This window comes from Homo sapiens, chromosome 14, assembly GCF_000001405.40.
Source record: "Homo sapiens chromosome 14, GRCh38.p14 Primary Assembly".
Classification (NCBI taxonomy): domain Eukaryota; kingdom Metazoa; phylum Chordata; class Mammalia; order Primates; family Hominidae; genus Homo; species Homo sapiens.
Genome location: NC_000014.9, coordinates 73,946,843 through 73,969,432, shown reverse-complemented (window position 1 = coordinate 73,969,432; position 22,590 = coordinate 73,946,843). Strand labels below are relative to the sequence as shown.

The 22,590-nt window shown below is 45.3% G+C and overlaps 3 protein-coding genes across 32 annotated transcripts in view, besides 3 other annotated features; 2 read left to right on the top strand and 1 right to left on the bottom strand.

The window, feature by feature from the left end:
- Positions 1–14,104, top strand: part of ENTPD5 (ectonucleoside triphosphate diphosphohydrolase 5 (inactive)) — a 63,960-nt gene extending 49,856 nt beyond the window's left edge. For 8 of the 14 annotated variants that reach the window (NM_001382256.1, NM_001321986.3, NM_001382263.1 and 5 more), the window contains one exon: positions 2,419–6,203. In NM_001382256.1, the coding sequence (NP_001369185.1) occupies positions 2,419–2,505 (87 nt within the window). In that variant the 3' untranslated portion in view covers positions 2,506–6,203. Of the gene's footprint in view, positions 1–2,418; positions 6,204–7,882; positions 8,350–9,879; positions 11,518–13,604 lie in introns of those variants that run through there. The other 6 variants (NM_001382260.1, NM_001382259.1, NM_001330189.2 and 3 more) reach the window with 4 other exon arrangements.
- COQ6 (coenzyme Q6, monooxygenase) lies at positions 5,763–19,515 on the bottom strand. Of its 15 annotated transcripts, none has more exons than NM_182480.3 (12): positions 19,253–19,507; positions 15,864–15,998; positions 13,924–13,982; positions 13,505–13,628; positions 11,156–11,286; positions 10,355–10,462; positions 10,209–10,271; positions 9,911–10,018; positions 8,058–8,260; positions 7,863–7,978; positions 7,530–7,696; positions 5,763–6,463 (listed from the first exon to the last, which is right to left on the bottom strand). In NM_182480.3, the coding sequence occupies exons 1-12, from the start codon at positions 19,338–19,340 to the stop codon at positions 6,434–6,436; spliced, it is 1,332 nt and encodes a 443-aa protein (NP_872286.2). In that variant the 5' UTR covers positions 19,341–19,507; the 3' UTR covers positions 5,763–6,433. The 15 variants fall into 15 exon arrangements, 13 of the variants coding, with proteins under 13 accessions (NP_872286.2, NP_872282.1, NP_001412192.1 ...); NM_182476.3 differs by lacking the exon at positions 19,253–19,507 and adding an exon at positions 18,938–19,131; NM_001425263.1 differs by lacking the exon at positions 19,253–19,507 and adding an exon at positions 18,836–19,131 and having other exon boundaries at positions 6,321–6,463.
- Positions 17,081–17,379: a silencer, noted in NCBI's record as "fragment chr14:74418757-74419055 (GRCh37/hg19 assembly coordinates)". NCBI's record gives its function as "represses an EF-1alpha promoter that drives an FKBP-Casp9 reporter gene in an ReSE screen in phorbol 12-myristate 13-acetate-treated (for megakaryocytic differentiation) K562 erythroleukemia cells {active_cell/tissue: K562(+PMA)}" and the evidence as "EXISTENCE:reporter gene assay evidence [ECO:0000049][PMID:32094911]".
- Positions 18,449–19,449: an enhancer, noted in NCBI's record as "H3K27ac-H3K4me1 hESC enhancer chr14:74416687-74417687 (GRCh37/hg19 assembly coordinates)". NCBI's record gives its function as "activates a minimal SCP1, AML or CMV promoter by ChIP-STARR-seq in naive and primed H9 embryonic stem cells {active_cell/tissue: H9 hESC(naive and primed)}" and the evidence as "EXISTENCE:reporter gene assay evidence [ECO:0000049][PMID:30033119]".
- FAM161B (FAM161 centrosomal protein B) overlaps positions 19,339–22,590 on the top strand; it is a 27,396-nt gene continuing 24,144 nt past the window's right edge. For all 3 annotated transcript variants that reach the window (XR_007063990.1, XM_011536475.3, NM_152445.3), the window contains exon 1: positions 19,339–19,460. Coding sequence is in view for 2 of the 3 variants with exons in the window: in XM_011536475.3 (XP_011534777.2) it covers positions 19,407–19,460 (54 nt within the window). In the remaining variant the exon portion in view is untranslated. The remainder of the gene's footprint in view (positions 19,461–22,590) is intronic.
- Positions 19,373–19,432: an enhancer, noted in NCBI's record as "active region_8723". NCBI's record gives its function as "activates an Ori minimal core promoter by ATAC-STARR-seq in GM12878 lymphoblastoid cells {active_cell/tissue: GM12878}" and the evidence as "EXISTENCE:reporter gene assay evidence [ECO:0000049][PMID:35858748]".

Sequence of the window (22,590 nt, the reverse complement as noted above, 5' to 3'; positions counted from 1 at the left end):
GCGTGAGCCACTGCACCCGGCCCACATGGTTTATTAAATCAGTTTAGAACTCAGGGTGAGAAGCAAGGGGAAAGAGTTGGAGAGGTGAACACAGAAGACACGGTGCAAGCAGGATGCAAGTGCCACACTCTCTGAATCTTGGGTTCCATTTGTCCTAGGTTTATATGTCCTGCCTGTCTCTGCTGCTAATAGAGTGGTTACACATACTAGAGCTGAAGTTCGGTCATGGGAGCACAAAGACAAAAGGTGCCTGAGGCCACCACACAAACTTGCCCTATTTGGAGAGGCCCCAGGGGCACACACACATGGCCATTTGCATTAGCTCAGTCATTAGCCTATAAGATGGGTTTTCTTTGGCAGAGGACATGAGAGACCAAGAGGGTGTCACCAGTGAGTGGCTTATTTAAGGCCTCATGAACACTGAATGCCTCATGCATATGTAATGTGTCATATATATTTCATGTGTGCCTCGTATATTTAATGCCTCTTGAATCTTAGGTCTTTCTTTGTCCTCCTGTCTCTCTCCATCTGTTTCAGTACCTGCAGGCTCTACTTTATCTGTAGTAAGTTATTTATCCCCAGTTTTGGGCACAGTGTCTAGGCTCTATTACATCAGGTCAACACAGAACAATCAACTGGTTTATAGACTTTTTTGGTGGTGGTAGCATCTTTATCCAACAAAAACTTATGTAGAATATCAGTAATACAGCCGGGCCTGATGGCTCACGCCTGTAATCCTAACACTTTGGGAGGCTGAGGCGGGCGGATCACCTGAGGTCAGGAGTTCGAGACCAGCCTAGCCAACATGGTGAAACCCCGTCTCTACTAAAAATACAAAAATTAGCCGGGCGTGGTGGCAGGTGCCTGTAATCCCAGCTACTTGGGAGGCTGAGGCAGGAGAATCACTTGAACCTGGGAGGCAGAGGTTCCAATGAGGAGAGATCATACCATTGCACTCCAGCCTTGGCAACAAAGAGCGAAACTCCGTCTCAAAAAAAAAAAAAAAAGAGTATCAGTAATATAAAACTGGTAAAAGTGGAACTATTCTGGTTGAAGCAGAGATTGGGGGCCTGAAACTCCTCTATCATTTGGCCTCCCTTTTTCCTTCGAAGCATTTCTAAGAAACCCCTAAAATTCTGAAGAAAACAAATTGATAAACCGATAAACACTAATCTAATCCTCTTCTTATATAGTTGAGGAATTTGGGTCTAAAGTTTTGCCCAAGGTCACTAAGCTAATTGAGATATGTACTGGCTTAGAATGTCTTAAGTTCCCTGTTTGATTATTTTTTTCTTTTCTTTTTCTTTTGAGACCAAGTTTCGCTCTTGTTGCCCAGGCTGGAGTGCAATGGTGCAATCTCAGCTCACTGCAACCTCCACCTCCCGGGTTCAACTGATTCTCCTGCCTCAGCCTCCGAAGTAGCTGGGATTACAGGCATGCGCCACCATGCCTGGCTAATTTTGTATTTTTAGTAGACACGGGGTTTCACCATGTTGGCCAGGCTATTCTCAAACTTCTGATCTCAGGTGATCCACCCGCCTCAGCCTCCCAAAGTGCTAGAATTATAGGCATGAGCCACCACTCCTGGCCTTTTTTGTTCGTTTCTTTTTTTTTCTTTTTTTTTTTTTTTTTTGAGACAGGGTCTTGCTCTGTCACCCATGCTGGAGTGCAGTGGCATGATCTCAGTTCACTGCAACCTCTGCCTCCCGGGTTCAAGTGACCCTCCCACCTCAGCCCTCTGAGTAGCTGGGATTACAGGTGTGTGCCACCACTCTTGTCTAATTTTTTTGTAGAGACGGGGTTTTGCCATGTTGCCCAGGCTGGTCTTGAACTCCTGGCCTCAAGCAATCCACCTGCCTTGGCCTCCCAAAGTGCCAGGAGTACAGGCATGAGCCACTGCGCCTGGCCCCATGTTTGGTTATTATTAGTGCTTAGGAAGAGGCACTTGCTTACATAGTAGGAGTTGAGAAGCTTGGTTTGTTCTTTCCTACCCCTAGATCTATTCTCACCTCCTGACCATGCTCTTTCTGCCACATCTATTATCATTACAAGTTGCCTTATCTGAAATTAGTGAATCAGAAAATAAAGCAGGGGATACTTTGTGTAGTTTCAACGTTAGGGAAAGTTCAGAATACTGTCTGTCTAAACTATCTCTCTAGAAGGCCTGATGGGCCACAACCTGGGCCAGAAGCATTCAGTTCAGATATGAGAATGGTGGGTGTAGGGGCAATGGCCAATGGGCCATGGCCGGAAGGAAATTGTTACAGAGTAGTGGGAAGCCTGCAAAGACTGGCTTCTGTCCGTTTTGCCTTGGTTTGCCCATGTGGATATTCTTTGCCAATATTTTCTGCCCAAGAGCTGTGCTTGCTAGAGTTGGAAACTGGATGAAAAGGTGAAGACTTTTTTTCTTCTCAACAGCTCACAAAGAAAGTGAACAACATAGAGACGGGCTGGGCCTTGGGGGCCACCTTTCACCTGTTGCAGTCTCTGGGCATCTCCCATTGAGGCCACGTACTTCCTTGGAGACCTGCATTTGCCAACACCTTTTTAAGGGGAGGAGAGAGCACTTAGTTTCTGAACTAGTCTGGGGACATCCTGGACTTGAGCCTAGAGATTTAGGTTTAATTAATTTTACACATCTAATGTGAACTGCTGCCTAACCACTCAAGAGTACACAGCTGGCACCAGAGCATCACAGAGAGCCCTGTGAGCCAAAAAGTATAGTTTTGGAACTTAACCTTGGAGTGAGAGCCCAGGGACAGGTCCCTGGAAACCAAAGAAAAATCGCATTTCAACCCTTTGAGTGCCTCATTCCACTGAATATTTAAATTTTCCTCTTAAATGGTAAACTGACTTATTGCAATCCCAAGACCCATCAATATCAGTATTTTTTTCCTCCCTATACAGTGCCCTGCCCACCCTTATCTGCACCCACCTCCCCTGAAAAAGAGAGAAAAAAAAAAACCTGGTTTTGCTTTCCATGTATAATTCAACAACGCAAAATGGGACCATGTCAGAATCTGTATGATCCTATTCTGTGTTAGCTCCAATCAGCCAGCTGAGAGCCATCCTAAATATTAATAGGATGAGAGAGTAACTCCTAACTGTGCATAAATTACAGCCTTAAGAAAGAAGGCCACCCGGTCTCTGGGGACATGTTTTGGGAGGGTGTGGCTGCCTCATATAGCCTACCTTTGCTTTAATCAGCATTTTATCAGTCAACTCTGGGATTAATGAACATATCCGACTTTATGGGTATGTGTATATTCAGTGCCAGTACCACCTCCCAGGCTAATGTGTTAACAGTGTTTTCTATGATTCTAAACTTGTTTTCTTTGTATTTCTAAGAAATACAACTAGGCCCTAACTTTTGGTCTGTGGTCAGAGGTCAGTGTCTGTGCTATTCCAGGATCTATTATTTCAGTTTGCCCTTTTATTCTCTCCGTTTGTAACAGTACCTTCCTGTCCTGGTCCCTGATCACTTTAGCTAATATCCTTTGAATTATTTATCTAGTTCAGAGTTTCCAATACCGTTCCTGACAAAACCCCACTTGGATTTGGTTGGCTCTCTCAGCCCACATCAGTACAGTGGACCAACATTTCCAGGGAGAACCATATTTAATGTCCCTCATGCTCTCTTTTTGAATCCAAGTGCTCAGAGCTCTTGACTGTGAATTATTTACCCCAAATTCATTATCTTGCACTTTTTTTTGAGATGGAGTCTTGCTCTGTTGCTCAGGCTAGAGTGGAGTGGCGCAATCTCAGCTCACTGCAACCTCCGCCCCCAGGTTCAAGCGATTCTTGTTCTCAGCCTCCTGAAGAGCTGGGATTACAGGTGCCCACCACCATTCCTGGCTAATTTTTGTATTTGTAGTAGAGATGGGGTTTCACCATGTTGGCCAGGCTGGTTTCCAACTCCTGATCTCAATTGATCCACCCGCTTCCCAAAGTGCTGGGATTACAGGCATGAGACACCGCGCCTGGCCTTATCTTGCACTTTCAACATAATCATCCCTGCTTCTCATCTGCCCTGCAGTGCTCTTGGACCTGGAAGATCTCCCTGTGGTCTGGCCCCTTTGCCTTGGTTGTTAACCTCCAGCTTCTTTGCAGGAGTGTATTTCCCCAAAACTTGTGGCTTTCACAGTAGACTCCGTTTCCATCCTCTCTCTCACAAAGGATGTTAAGTATGCCTGGCCCTCACACAGTCCATGGGAAACCTTATTTTTAACATTACTCCATTGAGTCAATAAATATTTACCATCTGCTGTGTGCAAGTTACTAGGCAAATTTCTGTATCCTTGTCCCTAAAATTCTTGTCTTTAAATTCATTGTGGAATTTCTTTAGACTTCACACTGACTTTTATTACTAAGGTCACCTTTATACCAACTGCCTTCCTCAAAATGCTTATAATGAAATAACAGAATCTTGAGTTGGAAACAGCCCAAAGAAATAATCCAATGTTGTACTCAGTGCAGAATTCCCTAGAATTTCTAACAGGTTGTCATTCAGCTTCTGCTAAGCCATGTTCAAACAGCTTATTCCATTTGGAACTGCACTGATATTAAAAAAAATTCCTTATATTGAGCTGAAATCTACCTATCTTCTAAGTGGTCTTAGTTCTGCTCTAATCTCTCCTTCCAAAATCTTTGGATCTTTTGAAAAAAGTTCCTCCCAAGTTCTTTTATAAGTGACATGACTTTTAGACCCCTTCCCATCTTTGTCAACAAAAGTAGGGTGCCAGACCAGTCACAGAACACTAAATGTCATCCATGTTTCCTTCAGTAGAAACCAGCAGTTTTAAAAGAGGTAAGCTGTGTTCACTAAAGACTGTTCCAGCTTGACAAATGCAGAGATATAAGTCTCTGGTCTTTAATCACTGTGGGGGCCATTTTGTAAAACACACATACTGTCCAGCAGACTCCTTTGGTCATCCCAAATACCTCTGAACTCCAGGGAAGATGCATTCTAACTCCACGAACTTACCTATTTTGTTAACCTTGATTAGACCTTCTGGAGAAGTAACCAATTTGTCCATCTTAGGAGCAATTTGGAATGAGAGTTTTTATTTTTTTCTGTAACGCCCATCCTGCCTGCAGTAGACCCTTTGGGCTTAAGAGGTCCTACAGATTCTAATAGTTTCCTCTTTGTAGATGTGTTAACATATTTAAAATACTTAGGACATGGCCTGGTACGTGACAGATGGTGTTTAACATCATTGTCATATGAAGAACACTCTCTGTGGGCCAATGGAGGTGTGCCTTAAAATTCTTCATCTTGCCTGATTTTGTTTGCATAACTTCTGGAGAGTCTGTGTCCTCCTCATCTAGGCCACCTTTCCATTTTTTGTGAAAGATGACCTTGTCCCTGCAGTCTCCGCCAGGAGTCACACAGCTTTTCACAGCAGCTGCCATCTTTAATTCTTTTTCCTGAGATTCCAGCAAGGTTGTGACATTGTCACTTTTTTGTTCTAGACTCTTTTAAATTTTCTGCATTTGCCTGAAAAGCACCCCTGTAAGAATAGATTTCTCATGGCTCTAAAAATTATTCCCAAGAATACCTTACTTGGTTCAAAAGCAGACTGTTTCTCTTCATTTCATCTCAAATCAGACTTCTGGGCAAGATGTTCTTTAGAGTAAGCAAACCTACAACCTAAAAATCTCTTCAAGAGGCATCTCTGGTCTTGTGACGAGACCTCTTCAAAAACCCACAGTAAAACTCCCCTCCCTCCAGTTGGCCACCAGTCTGCCACCAAACATGAACAAATTCTGCTGCTAATCGGTTTCCCTTGTGATCTGGTTCCTGAGGTCTTCGGATCTGTGCAATGAATTATTTATTGTTTTATTAAACCGACAGTGGTGTCCCAGAGAGGAACCATAAATAAAATGGAAATCTGGTGCTGTGATAAAGTAATAACTAGCATTAATGAGACCTGGTTTTCCTTTCAGAAAGTCCAGTATACCTGTAACAAAGGTTAAAGCAATTTATATTTAATTTGCATTCTGATGTTAACATTTAAACAGCAATTCTAACAAAAATGCATCGAGTCTAATTCTTACCTCTATCAAAAAACAACTGTATAAATTTATGACCAACATTAAAACAAAAACAAAATGTAAATTTTCTCTTTAGAAATGATTAACTGGAAATGAGTGAGACAGCACCTTGTGGGTTTTTTAGTAATAAAAAGCTCTTTTCAACCAAATTGTAAGTCTTCCTTCGAAGTTTTTTCCTTTGGTCTGGCTAATATACGCTCCTCACAGCAAATTATCATTCATTATTTGGGTGCCACAGGCCCATTAAGCAAAGAAGAAAAAGAGAATTTTAATGTAAAGTAAGTTTATTAAATTAAATAAGATCTTGAAAATATGTATGATGGGTCCTGGGCAGGATGTTCTTTTTCATCAACGTAATCTTTCTTTAGGAGAGGAGTACTCATTTGCTTGCAAAGGCCATAATCTGTTCCTGGAGAAAAAATAAAAGTGAATGAAACTCTTAACACAGTAAGGTGAAGAAAATAATTATTGTAGATAATAATCACGTAGGTATTCTTCCCAAGTGTCCTTGTTTTATTTCAGCTAAAAAAAGAAAAATATACATACATATACACACGTTTTAGAGACAGGGTCTCACTCTGTTGACTGGGCTGGAGTGCAGTGGTGTGATCATAGCTCACTGCAGCCTCAAACTCCTAGGCTCAAGCAATCCTCCCTCCCCAGCCTCCTATAAAGTGCTGGGATTACAGGTGTGAGCCACTGCACCCATCAGAAAAAACATATCTTTAAATGGAAGTTCTCAGGGATGAAACTAGTCAAGCAGCAAAAGGAGCTTAAACATCTTCATCATTAGAAATCCCTATTCATTTTTTTTTTTCAAGAGACTGGTCTTAACTCTGTCACCCAGTCTGAGTAACAATGATGTGATCATAGCCCACTGCAGCCTCAAACTCCTAGGCTTAAATTATCCTCTTGCCTCAGTCTCCTGAATAGCTAGGACTACAGGCATGTGCCACCACACTCCCTATTCACTATTTTTAAGCCCTTTTTATACATAGTTATTGCTTAGATGTGGGCCGTAACACCTAAAAGCCTAGCAAGTACTCTTCTGCTTGTAACCCTTGGGAAGGCAAACACATAAAGATAATAATTTTACAGCCAAGAAAATTAATTCAAAGAAATTAAGAGCTGTGGGCCAGCCGCAGTGGCTCACGCCTGTAATCCCAGCACTTTGGGAGGCCGAGGCAGGCAGATCACGAGGTCAGGAGTTCAAGACCAGCTTGGCCAACATGGTGAAACCCCATCTCTACTAAAAATAAGAAAATTAGCCGGGTGTGGTGGTGGGCGCCTGTAATCCCAGCTACTTGGGAGGCTGAGGCAGGATAATCACTTGAACCTGGGAGGCAGAGGCTGCAGTGAGTGGAAATTGTGCCACTGCACTCCATCCTGGGCGATAAGACCAAGACTCTGTTTCAAAAAAAAGCAAAAGAAATTAAGAGCTGTTTGCAAAGTCATTCCTCTGAGCAACCTCTTACTTTGAGTGGAGACACTGCATTTGTGGCCTGCAAGCCCCACGTCCTGAGCAACACAAGCGGGGAGGCACTGGTAGAATAGAGCCTTTTTAGTAAGTCTGTAGCAGCCAGAAGAGCAGTGTTGTGACGCTGTCTTTCTGTTTCATAACCTGTGAGGTGGCTCACGGAACCTGAAGGGCAGAGGAAAGATTAAATCCCTAATCCAATAATAAGGTTTTCTTCCATCTCCTAGCAAGCCAGATATATTTTATGTCCACTCCCTCTTGCTACTGTGGGCCCTGATCTTGCCTAACTATATGACCTCTGGATACTTCCCCATAGTATCTGAATCCTTACCTAAGTCCTTCCCATTGAAGGCTGCCGTACTGAGGTGATGGGCCAAGCTGGAGATATCCCCAAAGCCCATGTTGACACCCTGTCCTGCAAGCGGATGGACTCTGTGGGCTGCATCCCTAAGAATAAAGCAGAGTTCAGGTGTGACCTCTGGCAGCAAAGTGAGAAGGGAGTGGCCCTGCTCTGTTATCGTCTTACCCAATGAGCGCCACCCGAGGCCTGACGTACTCAGCAGCATGTCCCAACCCAAGAGGAAACAGAACTCGGCTTTTGGCATCCACCCTGGCTACGCTTGGGGGCAGCTGGCGAGCCGAGACCTTAGTGGGCTTCAGAAGGCTGACAGCATACTGCAGCATGGCACCAGCTGTGTCGATGAAGTCCGTGTGGTCAGCATCACTCCACTGAGCAGCATCAGCCACAAGACAAACAAGGTGAAATGTGAGTAGCAGGGAATTAAAAATTCAATAAAGAAACCTTGTTTGTAACCAAAGCTTAGGCTAATGCTACCCAACTTGCCTACACTGATCTTGACAAGTGATAAGCCCCTCAAGTGCAAAGCAACTTCTCATCACTCCCCAGAGGTTTTAAGATCTAGCCAAACTGTACATGAGCTGGCCCCTGCCTACTTCTGAGCTTCACCTTTCACTAGTCCCCACCCTCAATAACCACGCACCAGCCACAGTATAGCTCATCACACAGTATCCTTCTACCTCCATGACTCTCCTCTGCTTAGAATGCCCGTCTCTATTTCATTAGGATAACATCTCAGAGCATCCAGAAGACGTCGCCTCTTTTTAACTCCTCCAGTCTTTCTCTGTGTTTCCCCCCTGTATGCTTCCACAGCATCCTATGCATACTTCTATCACTGTACGGAGATTGTCATTTACGGTCTTCCTTACTTGACTATGAACTTCCTGAAAGCGGAGACTGTTCTCAGTATCTCCAGAGCCTGCTACATAGAAAGGACAATTAATGGTGAATGACTGCACTGCAGAGGACCTAGACCTGTGCCAGGAATATATACTAAATGGCCCAGAGTAGGGTAGTGTTCACCATTTATCTCGGAATCCATTTCAGTATGTTCAGTTCCCTTTATTCTTGTTGCTACTACAGAGCAGTGGAGTCTTTGGTGTGAAGGTAGCAGGCTTTGAGTGTCATTTAGGCTCCAAAAGTAATACTGGTACCCATATTATCCAAAGGCTGTGTCTACTCCAGAATTATTAGTATTTGTTGAGCACCTACAATGTACTAAAGATGTTCCATGGATTTTACAAAAGTTCTCTCATTTTGAAAGTCTTTATTCAATCCTGAGCAGTTAGTGATACTATTTACATTTTGAACCCACATCTATCTACTAAGCTTACTCTTAAGCCCCATGCTGAAATTCGCTCGGCCTTTCCCTAGGAATACTTTCAATGAATCAGGCTTGAAAGGTTCAGGTAGCTGCAACCTAGCAGAACTGTTCAAAATAATCCAAGTGTTACAGCTTCAAAAAAAGGCCAATGCTAACCACCACCCAGGCAGCTGTTTCAGTCAGCCTAACAGCAGCCCACAACCCTCAAAAGGTTATTATTTATTATTTCTATTGTTTTGCATTTCCGTGTGTACACTCCTCCACATAATCTAGACCAAGCATTATAGTTACAAAGTAGAAAGGGACAGCTGACTGGTTACTCCTTTTTCCTGACTCAAAACCACCTTTCTGGCTGGGTGCAGTGGCTCACGCCTGTAATCCCAGCACTTTGGGAGGCCAAGGCAGGCAGATCACTTGAGGTCAGGAGTTTGAGACCAGCCTGGCCAACATGGTGAAACCTCATCTCTACTAAAAATAGAAAAATTAGCTGGGCATGGTGGCACGTGCCTGTAGTCCCAGCTACTTAGGAGGCTGAGGCAGGAGAATCGCTTGAACCCGGGAGGCGGAGATTGCACAGTGAGCCAAGATCGCGCCACTGCGCTCCAGCCTGGCAAGGATCCGTTTCAAAAAAAAAAAAACAACACCTTTCTGTATCTCCCCCTGCAGCACATCATCAGCTGGGTAAATTGATACTCACAAAGGCAGAGTTAACGGCATCCACAAATTTTTCCTCATCCATGCTAACTAGCTCTGCTGCATGTTCATGGGACGTGGACCAAACCAAGGAACTCAAGGTGTCTGAGAGCTGTGTCAAAAGAACACCAATACCAACGGCTAAGACTCTGCTGCACTTGGAAACTCTCAAGCATAAAAAGACAAAAAGGGAACTTACAAACAGCCTGGGCAGATTCCCTTGAAACCAGAAAAAGGCTGAGAGAAAGTGAAGAGGAAAGGCTTGCATGCATGTGGGCGGACTGGTCAGAAGGACCTCTTACCGGGAGCAGAGCAATAGGCCCAGAGGGAAGAAATCTCTGCCAGGCTACGTTGTTTTCTGTGGCCTGCAACAGAGAGGAGAAAAGTTTCTCTGTGAAGTACCTAGTGCCTATGAATAAAGTCCCCAGATGGCAGCTCAGGATCTTACCTCTGATAAATGCAGAGTAGCCACAACAGCAGACTGGTCATAGTTCCAGCTCACATTCTGGATTCCAACAGCCTGCCGTACTCCGGAGTTGTGACCATCTGCACCTATCTGCATGGACACATGAGCCTGCTAAGTCTTCCAGCCTCTTCATAAACTGCTTCAGAAGTTTTTCTCTGCTCCCTAAAGTTTCCTCCAGCTCTGATTGTTGTGTGGCAGGATAATTCCATCAGGCCTGCTTCACTCACAGCCCCTAGAGGTGGAGCCCCTGCACTGTCACATCAGCCTCAGCCAACAGAGCCAAAGCTGGACATGACTGAACAGGTGCCAGCCATGAGTTAAACTCAGCCAGGCCCTCCTGATATTTGAACTAGAGAGCAATAAGGAAAGTTTCAGTATGGGGCACACACTGGAGCTGAATAGTTCTGATGTAGGGTTAGGAATGGCTACCATGCAAAAAGGGAAGCTTGTGAGCAGAAAGGAGAAAAATGAGAGGCAAGAGATCAATGACCACAGACTCCTCAGAGGGAAAGAACAGCCTCCATTCCCAACACTCTGGTGCCTGTCCTGTGAGGCCCAGCTATCTGTTATTTCACAACCTAAGACGGCCCATGAGATTGCTCCCTGTACAGGATTTACGATGAGACCATCTCCACTTGAGCTGGCCTGAATAGGTACTGGTCCTCATAACCAAAAGTTTTGCCTAAAATTAAACTATAGCTTAAATCGAAAACCAGAGTCCCTAGAATCTAGGATAAGATGTAGATATACAAGACCCCTAGCAAAATAAGAATCTTCAACTACCAACAATTTGGTCTGGAAGGTGCTGCCATCACCTAGGGTAATATGAACCCAAGGGCTGGAGTCGGCCATAGGAAATGGACAAGGCCAGGTATAGCGAATGGCTTTGCTCCTGTAGAGAACCGTCACTCGGTCTGGGGAGGTCAAAAGAGAGGAAAAAAAATTAGAAAGGTGGGCCACATAGGCTGAGGAAAAAGCCATAACTAAACCTAAAGCAAGGTCCCAGGACAGCAGTGTCTTGTCATTTAAGATTAAAAAAATCAGTAATTAATGCTGTGGTCTGAGCTAATAAATGACAGAAGCCACAGAGATAACTCAATGTCAAAAAAAGACATTGAAGTTCTCAGTGAACTCTGTCAGAGGCACTCTTTCTTACTGTCCACATGCTTCTGCGCCTCCATTTTCACTCTACGCTTAAATGAGCCCGTGTTTGCTTTTACAGTAGACAGGCTGGGAATACCATAGGCTGAAACAAATCCTAGACTACAAAAGATTTTCTTCCAGCTGGAAATCATTTTATTTTTCTGGTCATAAAAACAATACGCTCTATGGCCAGGCACGGGTGGCTCATGCTCGTAATCCTAGAACTTAGGGAGGCTGAGGCAGGAGGATCACTTGAGCCCAGGAGTTCAAGACCAGCCTGAGCAACATGGTAAAACCCCATCTTTACAAAAAATTAACCAGGCGTGATGGTGCGCACCTGTCGTCCCAGTTAGTCAGGAGGCTGAGGTGAGAGGATTGTTAAGCCACTGCACCCCAGCCAAGGAGGACAAAGCAAGACCTTGTCTCAAAACAAAACAAAACACTATCTCCAAAAACATCAGCCTGTATACATCATTTACAGCTTTTTGTATGTCAGTCAGTCATACTGTCAACAAAGCGATTTAAATAATAGAGGGCCAGCACAGTGGCTTACGCCTGTAATCCCAGCACTTTGGGAGGCCGAGGTGGGTGGATCACGAGGTCAGGAGATTGAGACCACGGTGAAACCCCATCTCTACTAAAAATACAAATAATTAGCTGGGCACGGTGGCAGGCGCCTATAGTCCCAGCTACTCCAGAGGCTGAGGCAGGAGAATGGTGTGAACCTGGGAGGCCGAGCTTGCAGTGAGCCGAGACTGTGCCACTGCACTCCAGCCTGGGCGACAGAGCGAGACTCCATCTCCAAAAAAAAAAAAATAATAATAATAATAATAAGCTCGCTGTAGAAGTCTGGACAACAAAGAAAGGTTCAAGTGGAGAAAAATCACCCTTAAACTACTCAGAGACAACTGCAATTACAGCTTTGGTGTATGACTTTCCAGACAATTTCCTATGCATGTACATGCACACACAAGTGTGATCATATGACCCAATATATTATGGAACAAATTTATAAGTTATTAAATTTTAGATTCAAATTATCTTTAAAAGCTACATCATGGTTCACTGCATGAACTACTATCCAATATCAAAAAGCATTTAAGTTACTTCCAATTTTTCTCTCTCTAGAACATTAAGATATTTGCAAGCCGCATAACTGATAAATTTATATTTAAAATATATAAAGAACTCCTATAACTCAAAAACAAATAATCCAATTTAAAAACAGGCAAAATATTTTGAACAGACATTTCTCCAAAGTGGATACACAAATGGCCAGTAAGGACATGAAAAGATACTCAGCATCATTAGTTATTAAGGAAATGCAACCACTACTACAATGAGATACAACTTCACTCTCAACAGGATGGCTACAGTTTTTTTTTACAGAAGGAAAATAAGCGTTGGTGAGGATGTGGAGAAACTGGAACCCTTATAGACTGGTGGGAAAGTGAAATTGTATAGCCTCTTCAGAAAAGTTTGGCAGCTTCTGAAAATATTAAACATAGAATTATTATATGACCCAGCAATTCCACTTCTAAGTATCCAGCACCGTGAAATAATCATCAGAGGAATTTTTTTTTTTTTTTTGAGACGGAGTCTTGCTCTGTCGCCCAGGCTGGAGTGCAGTGGCGTGATCTCGGCTCACTGCAAGCTCCACCTCCTGGGTTCACGCCATTCTCCTGCCTCAGCCTCCCAAGTAGCTGGGTCTATAGGCGCCCGCCACCATGCCTGGCTAATTGTTTCTTTGTATTTTTAGTAGAGACAGGGTTTCACCATGTTAGCCAGGATGGTCTCCATCTCCTGACCTCGTGATCCGCCCGCCTTAGCCTCCAAAAGTGCTGGGATTACAGGCGTGAGCCACCGCACCCGGCCATCAGAGGATTTCTTTATGGTGGACACTGAATATTGTAAAAGAGATCCTTTCTTCCAGTAAGTCCTAAGCAGTTCACTTCCCAATGAATGCAAGGTGGAAGATGGGGGCCTCACCAGACACAGCCTCCAACTGCTTAGTGAGAGCATGCATGATGACATCATTCTCCACGATATAGCCCATGTCATCTAAATTATCCTTATCAAACATTATCAGGGCCTCTGAGCAGGCGTCCCACACCTGGAAACACAAAAGGAAAGTCTGCATTAAAACCAAGAGGGAAACATCACTCCAATCAGAAACAATATTGCTTTCCCAAGTGACAGAGCAGAAAATCACAATTTGTCAGCCTCTCTGGTAGGAAAATATAAAATGAGAAGAAAATTCTCCTGGGAATGCTTCTCCCCACTTCCTCGGACTGAATGTGAACCTTGTCTGATTCCTCCTACATTCACAGAACACTTGGAGAAAGTGGACTCCGATATCTTAAGACAGACCAAGACATCTTGACAAAATTGAAAAGATAAAGGGGCACCTGCATTCGCCGAAAGGCTCTGTATCTCATGTTGCAGATATGGTCCCAGGCACCAAAACCTACAAAAGAAAGGATCTATAGACCAGAGTGACTTCACAAGGACCTGGGCTCCCCCTTGTCCCTCCATCCTGTTACGTAAGAGGTTGTTTTCAGTGTTCTTCAATAATACTCTCCACTTCTATCTTGTTTGATGTTAGTACCTAAGCTACTCTGTTCCCCAGTTCCAGGTTGTATAGCATGAAAAAAGACCCAGCTTCTGCCGGGCGCGGTGGCTCATGCCTGTAATCCCAGCACTTTGGGAGACTGAGGCGGGCGGATCACGAGATCAGGAGATAGAGACCATCCTGGCTAACACCGTGAAACCTCATCTTCACTAAAAAATACAAAAAATCAGCTGGGCGTGGTGGCGGGCGCCTGTAGTCCCAGCTACTTGGAGAGGCTGAGGCAGGAGAATGGCCTGAACCCGGGAGGCGGAGCTTGCAGTGAGCCGAGATCGTGCCACTGCACTCCAGCCTGGGCAACAGAGCGAGACTCCGTCTCAAAAAAAAAAAAAAATAAAATAAAAAAAAAAAAGACTCAGCTTCCATGATCAAAAGGTCAAATCACATAAAGTAGGGGAAATTAAAAACGAAAACCAAATCCATGTATTTTTTTTTTTTTTTTTTTGAGACGGAATCTCGCTCTGTAGCCCAGGCTGGAGTGCAGTGGCGGGATCTCGGCTCACTGCAAGCTCCGCCTCCCGGGTTCACCCTATTCTCCTGTCTCAGCCTCCCCAGCAGCTGGGACTACAGGCATCCGCCGCCATGCCCGGCTCATTTTTTTGTATTTTTAGTAGAGACAGGGTTTCACCGTGTTAGCCAGGATGATCTCGATCGCCTGACCCTGTGATCCGCCTGCCTCAGCCTCCCAAAGTGCTGAGATTACAGGCGTGAGCCACCGCACCCGGCCCCAAATCCATATTGTTCTTTTTCTTCATCATCCTGCTGAAGTTATAAACCTCGTAAAGACAATTTTTAAAAAATTATTTTTACAAAGGATTTCTAGTAACTTGAAACCATTTGTTTTTTCTTTTTCAAGATACAAGGTCTTGGTATGTTGCCCAGGCTAGACTTAAACTCCTGGGCTCAAGCAATCCTCCCATCTCAGCCTTCCAAGTGGCCAGGACTATAGGTACACATGACTGTGCCTGGCCTATGTTCTATTTTTTAGCTCTTCATAGCACTGAACAGATTTATTCATTGAGGAAATATTTACTGAGCACCGACTATGTGCCAAATACAGTAAAGTGGGAAACCAATGGACAAAGTCCTTGGCCTTCTGCAGTTAACATTCTAATTGGAGAGATGGACAATAAAAAACAAACACATAATATAATGCCAGGTAGTAGTAAGCATTATGAAGAAAAATAGAGCAGGGAAAGGGGCTAGAAAGTGATGGAAGAGTTCAATTTGAGATGGGGTGGTTTCAGACAGGATGGTCTGAGGGAAACATCTAGCAGACCTAATGACAATTTGCTAACTGGTTCCATGTGCACACATTATTCATCTGCACCCCAAGGGAATTTCACGTGTAAGCTCCCTAGCTTGCTAGAAGGCTTGACTCAGGATGAAGAGAGCCCTGCTATTCAAAGTGAATGTTCATGATTAGTTCATATGATTTCAGTTCCACCAATTCATAATGACACAACATCACAAGTGAAGTCAACATGATGGACCCACATGCCTCAAGGATGCATTCCTCAGACAGGGAGTTGAGGCAGTAGCAACTGCAGGGGTCCACATCTTCAACTCTGCCCTAGACTACCAATCCCACCCCCTCTCTCCACCCACCTCAGTGAGCTCCCTCCTTGTCAGATGCTCTGATGACTCTGCCCCATGGGATACACTAGAAAGCTAAGTGGGAAAGGAGATTGGATCTTTGAAGGAGGATCTTCTACTCACTACTGAGAAGCGTTGCAGAGCCAGGGGAAATGGAGCTGACCCTGTTGCTGTAAGTTTCTGACAATTTCTCCAGTACTTTCTTTGGACCTGCTTCGAGCAACAGGATTTTCTTGTCATGAAAGTGAATATCATATCCTTAAAAAAAGAAAATTTATATCATCTTAGGAAAATCAAGAATTTCCTTTCCCATTACCAAGAGAAACAACAGAGTAACCACTTAACCCTTAGAATATGAATTTCTTACAGAGAACATAAACACTATACCCATGCAGAGTCCTAAGCAATAACATATACCACCATTTTAGCTATGAGAACCACCCTGCCCACAACTGTAAGACTTCTCCAAAGACCACTACATGCCACGTGCCAAGAAGCAAATAATGGCAAACACCTAACTAGCAAACAGAATGCCCTAGAAAGGAAAAATGAAGTAAAAAAGTTAGACTACAGTATTTAAACACCAGTTCTTTTCAATCTCCAGAGTATTAAGTCACTAAAAATTACAACTCCTGTTCAAAAGAAAAAGTGGAATAAACAAGCAAAATTCAATGCAGTCTCAAGATTAAACCAAGAATAAAGAATTAGAGTTTATAAAGGCCGGTGCGGTGGCTCACACCTGTAATCCCAGCACTTTGAAGGCCGAGGTGGACAGATCACCTGAGGTCAGGAGTTCAAGACCAGCCTAGCCAACATGGTGAAACCCGTCTCTACTAAAAATACAAAAAAATTAGCCAGGTGTGATGGCGGGCACCTGTAATCCCAGCTACTTGGGAGGCTGAGGCAGGAGAATCGCTTGATCCTGGGAGGAGGAGATTGCACCACTGCACTCCAGCCAGGGCAACAAGAGCAAAATTCTGTCTCAAAAAGAAAGAATTAGAGTTTATAAAAGAAAACGTGAGCCAGGCATGGTGGCTAACGCCTGTAATCTCAGCATTTTGGGAGGCCGAGGTGGGAGGATTGCTCAAGCCTAGGAATTCAAGACCAGCCTGGGCAACATGGCGAGACCCTGTCTCTACAAAAAAAAATTTTTTTTAACTAGCCAGGCATGGTGGCACACCTGAGCTATGTTTGTGCAACTGCAGTCCTACCTGGGGGACAGAGCAAAACCCTGTCTCAAAAACTACAAAAAAGAAAAGAAAAGAAAGAAAGGTCAGGCACAGTGGGTCACACCTATAATCCCAGCACTTTGGGAGACTGAGGTGATGGATCAGTTGAGCTCAGGAGTTCAAGACCAGCGTGGGCAACATGGTGAAACCCCATCTCTACTAAAAACACAAAAATTAGCCAGGTGTGATGGCGGGCGCCTGTGGTCCCAGCTCCTCAGAAGGCTGAGGCAGGAGAATCACTGGAACCTGGGAGGCAGAGGTTGCAGTGAGCTGGGATCCTGCCACTGCACTCCAGCCTGGGTGACAGAGCAGAGACTCTGTCTCAAAAAAAAAAAAAAAAAAAAAAAAAGTTAGCTCCAGCCATACAGACAGTGAGCGGTCCATCTTGGCAGCTTTTGCTGTGGAGGATGGGGCACAGGGACATGCTCTGTAGAGCATGCTCTGTAAAGGGCACTATCTTCTTTTTTTTTTTTTTTTTTTTTTGAGATATCGAGTTTCGCTCTTGTTGCCCAGGCTGGAGTGCAGTGGCGCGATCTCAGCTCACTGCAACCTCCCCCTTCCAGTTTCAAGCGATTCTCCTGCCTCAGCCTCCCAAGCAGCCATGAGAACCACCCTGTTACAGAAGTCTATGATCTGCTTTAAGTTAAATTTTGTGTATCTTGTGAGATGAGGATCATAGGGTGGAACAGCTGCCCTTAGATCAGGGTGTCCAATCTTTTGGCTTCCCCAGGCCACAGTGGAAGAATTGTCTTGGGTCACATATAAAAAAACACTAATATTAATGATAGCTGATGAGCTAAAAAAAAAAAAAAAATCACAAAAAAAAAATCTCATAATGGGCCAAGCATGGTGATTCATGCCTGTAATCCCAGCACTTTGGGAGGAAGGGGCAGGTGGATCACGAGATCAGGAGTTCGAGACCAGCCTGGCCAATATGGTGAAACCCCGTCTCTACTAAAAATACAAAAATTAGCCAGGCATGGTGGCACAAGCCTGTAATCCCAGAGGTTGCAGTGAGCTGAGATCGTGCCATTGTACTCCATCCTGGGCAACAAGAGCGAAACTCCATCTCAGGGAAAAAAAAAAAAGTGAAAAGACTACAAAATGGAAGAAAATATTTGCAAGTCATTTATCAGATAAGGGACTTATACAGAATAAACAAAATAATGGCCAGGCAGGGTTGCTTATGCCGGTAATCCCAGCACTTTGGGAGGCTGAGGCAGGTGGATTGCTTGAGCCCAGAAGTTCCAGACCAGCCTGGGCAACATAGTGAGACCTCGTCTCTACAAAAAAATACAAAAATCAGCCGAGTGGTGGCGCATTCCTGCAGTCCCAGCTATTTGGGAGGCAGAGGCAGGAGGATCAATTCAGCCAGGGAGGTTGAGGCTACAGTGAGCCGTGATCGTGCCACTGCACTGCAGCCTGGGCACAGCGGAAGACCCTGTCTCAAAAAATAAAAATAACTCTTACCACAGTATTCAAGAGACAAACTGCTCAATTAAAAACCGGGCAAAGGGTCTGAATAGGCATTTCTCTAAAGAAGATATACAAATGACCAATAAACATATGAAAGGATATTCAACATCATTAATCATTAGGGAAATACAAGTCAAAACCTGGAGATCCCACTTTACTTACACCCACTAGAATGTCTATAAACAAAAAGACAATGACAAGTACTGTCCAGGATCTGGAGAAACTGGAACTCTCATTTATAAATAACCCCGGGAAGGCCTGTTTTCCCATGAGTAGAACAGACTCTGAACGCCCCTCCCACTTTTGACCCTAATGGACCCTGAAGGACCACACGCATTCCGGCGTGCCCTGGGGTTCCTCTAGGAGGGGAGGGGAGAAGCGTCGCGAGACCTGAGAAATTGTCTTTGGGCAAGTCGTGCTAGGGCTCTCACGGCTCTCATCGTGCCTCCGCGGCCCGGTTTCCGGCCACTAGTAGCCTGGAGAAGGGCTTACCCAAGGCACAGGCCATGGCAGCGCCCACCAGGCCTCCACCCGACACCACCACGTCATACACGGTGTCTGTTGAGGCGCCGGACCACCTGCGCCAGGACACCAGCGGGCCGCTGTGGGGAGCTGCACGCACAGCCCCGCATCGGCTGACAAGCCGGGCCGCCATGGTGCAGACCTGCGCCGTCGCACTCAGAACTCCCGCAGGCCCACCTACGTAGTGCGTCCGGAGCAGAGCACTCCAATCCCGTCCCGCTTCCGCGGCGTCCTCAGAACCGGAAATAAAATGCGCGGAGAAAATAGGCCAATCGGAAAACGAACCTTGCCTCCTCGGGCGGGATGGATCGGAGGCTGCCCTGGAAGCCAACCAGACGCCAAAGCTAGAAAGGGGTGGACCCTGGCCCCGCATAGCTCTCGCTGCCACCGCTGCTGCCACTATCGCTGTCACTGTCGCTGCTGCCTCTGTCCAGCTGAAATGACCGTGGGGAGGCCTGAGGGAGCCCCCGGAGGCGCGGAGGGGAGCCGTCAGGTGAGGAGAGAAAAGAGACTGCCCCCGGGAAAGGAATCCCGGAGAGGAAACTGTTGGGCGTTGCCTTGGAGACAGACAGCAGGGGCGTGTCACGGAGGGGCGTGGGATTAAAATGAGCGTTTAGGGACCAGGAGGCGGACTCTGACTTACAGACCTGAACCTCTCGGACTTTATACGAGGCTCTTGATAGGCAATGTCACTCAGTTTTCGCTTATCCTCTTAGTACTCTATGACCAGTAGTACAATTGTCGTCTCATTTTTGTAGAAGAGAAAACTGAGGCACAAAGAGATTAAGAAAATTGCTCCCCAAATTTGGCCGGGCGTGGTGGTTCACGCCTGTAATCCTAGCACTTTGGGAGGCCGAGGCGGGTGGATCACCTGAGGTCAGGAGTTCGAGACCAGCCTGGCCAACATGGTGAAACTCCGTCTAAAAATTTAAAAAAAAAAAAAAAATTGGCCAGGCGCGCTGGCTCACGCCTGTAATCCCAGCACTTTGGGAGGCCAAGGAAAGCGGATCATGAGGTCAAGAGATCGAGACCAGGCTGGTTTCCATGGCAAAACCCCGTCTCTACTAAAAATACAAAAATTGGCCGGGTGCGGTGGCTTACTCCTGTAATGCAGCACTTTGGGACCTGAGGTCAGGAGTTCAAGACCAGCCTGACCAACATGGAGAAACCCTGTCTCTACTAAAAAAAATACAAAATTAGCTGGACGTGGTGGCACATGCCTGTAATCCCAGCTACTCGGGAGGCTGAGGCAAGAGAATTGCTTGAACCTGGGAGGTGGAGGTTGCAGTGAGCCGAGATTGTGCCATTGCACTCCAGCCTGGGCAACAAGAGCAAAACTCTCTCAAAAACAAAAACAAACAAACAAAAAAATACAAAAAATTATCTGGGCATGGTGGTGCGCGCCTGTAGTCCTAGCTACTCGGGAGGCTGAGGCAGGAGAATCACTTGAACCCGGGAGGTGGAGGTTGCAGTGAGCCAAGATTGCACCACTGCACTCTAGCCTGGCGACAGAGCGAGACTCCGTCTCAAAAAAAAAAAAAAATTAGCCAGGTGTGGTGGCGCGTGCCTCCAGTGATCCACCAGCCAAGGCCTCCCAAAGTGCTGGGATTACAGGCGTGAGCCAGTGCACCTGGTGGACCCCAAACTATTAAAGGCAAAAAGTAGATTGGCAGTTGCTTAGGGCTGGTGGGGTGGGGTGTGGAGGGTTAGGGGAAATAGGGAGTGACCACTAAAGCGTGTGGCATTTCTTTTAAGGGCGATGAAGGTGTTCTAAAATTGTGATGGTAGTTGCACAACTCTGTGTATATACTAAAACCACTGAATTGTACACTTTAAATGAGTGAATATATTGTATAGAAATTATGTCTTAATAAAGTTGTCTTTAAAAGAAAAGAAAAAACGTGCCCAAGATCACACACTGTAGCAGAGCCAGGGCTAGGGTGCATACATATCTCTGACTCTTACCCTGGATTTTAGTAAGCCTGGCTCCTCATCAATCAAGTGTCAATTCAAAATTCCTCCACAATGAAAAATAAAAATCAGCCCAGGACTGAGAAAGTATAACTCAGACTGTCATAGGCATAGATAATGCCAACGGCAAGAGCATCAGGAAACAGTGTTTCTCTCAGGGCCATAACATAGGTGCAAAATTACTAACACCCCTTCTTCCAAAAGGCTTACTGATCAATTACTTACCCACCCTACTTTATTCTTCTCACCTTTTGAATAAGTATTGCCGTTGGGCGGGGCCCAATGGCTCACGCCTGTAATCCCAGCACTTTGGGAGGCCAAGGCAGGCGGATCATTTGAGCTCAGGAGTTGGAGACCAGCCTGGGAAGCATGGTGAAACCCCATCTGTACAAAAAATACAAAAACTAGCCAGGTGTGATGGTGTGTGCTGTAGTCCCAGCTACTCGGGAGGCTGAGGTGGGAGGATCATCACCTGAGCTCAGGAGGTTCAGGCTGCAGTGAGGCATGATTGCACCACTGCACTCCAGAACCTGGGTGACAGAGCAAGAACCTGTCTCAAAAAAAAAAAATTGCTCAGTCATTCGCTTAACTAAATTGTCCCCACTTCATGACAGCACCATTCCAGAGTTGATACCTGGTTCCCTGAATCAATCAGGGAAGCCAACCCTATAAAAATCACACCCTCAACCCTAAGTTCCCTGTGGTTTTCCGTAGTGTCCTGCAGCAAGTTAATAAGCCTAACTGATGTACTGATTACAAGTACATTCCTAATAACCTTAATCTGATGGACTTTATCAACCAAAAAGCTTTCCATAGGCACTCCATCTTTTTATAACCTCACAGTTGTTTATGGTTTTCACAGAATTTATCATCATCTTATATTGTCTGTCTCCTCTTACTACAGTGTAAGCTTCATGAGAGTAAGGACCTTGTTTGTCTTGTTCTCAGCCAAATGCCCAGTGCACATCAGGCACCCAGTAAATATTTTATGAATGAATGGAGTACTGAAAAAGTTAATTGTGTGTCCCACTTCTTAAGACATTGCTCTTCCAGCCAGACCATACTGTCTGTCTTGTTAATCATCCATTCCTTTTTTTTTTTTTTTTTTTGAGACGGAGCATCACTCTTGTTGCCCAGGCTGGAGTGCAGTGGCGCAATCTCATCTCACTGCCACCTCCGCCTCCCGGGTTCAAGCGATTCTCCTGCCTCAGCCTCCCCAGTAGCTGAGATTACAGGCACCCGCCACCACGCCCAACTAATTTTTGTATTTTTGTAGAGACGGGATTTCACCATGTTGGTCAAGCTGGTCTTGAACTCCTGACCTCAGGTGATCCACCTCCCTCGGCCTCCCAAAATGCTGGGATTACAGGCATGAGCCACTGCACCCAGCCATCATCCATTCCTTGACAGAGTGCAAATTAGCTAGAACATGAGGAAAGCAGAGGAGTAGAAATAAGGGAAGGGAGAGAAGGAAGATGAGCAAGAAGTAGGTTAAAACCCAAGTAAGGGAGAGTGTGGCCATCATCATGGGCAGGATTCCTGGAGTGCAGGGGTCAGAAAGCCTGGTGTAGGTGAGGTACTCTGTAAAAGCTTACTGCACTGTATGGCATAGGGAACCAACTTCAGCTCTTCACTTCCCTCTCCATCCCTTC

Coding starts and splice junctions, on each gene's coding strand:
- COQ6 (NM_182476.3), bottom strand. CDS start 19,100: ATGGCGGCCCGGCTTGTCAGCCGATGCGGGGCTGTGCGTGCAGCTCCC. Junction 15,999..18,937: donor TGCCATGGCCTGTGCCTTGG/GTAAGCCCTTCT, acceptor TCTTTTTTTAAG/GATATGATATTCACTTTCAT. Junction 13,983..15,863: donor CTCTGCAACGCTTCTCAGTA/GTGAGTAGAAGA, acceptor TTTCTTTTGTAG/GTTTTGGTGCCTGGGACCAT.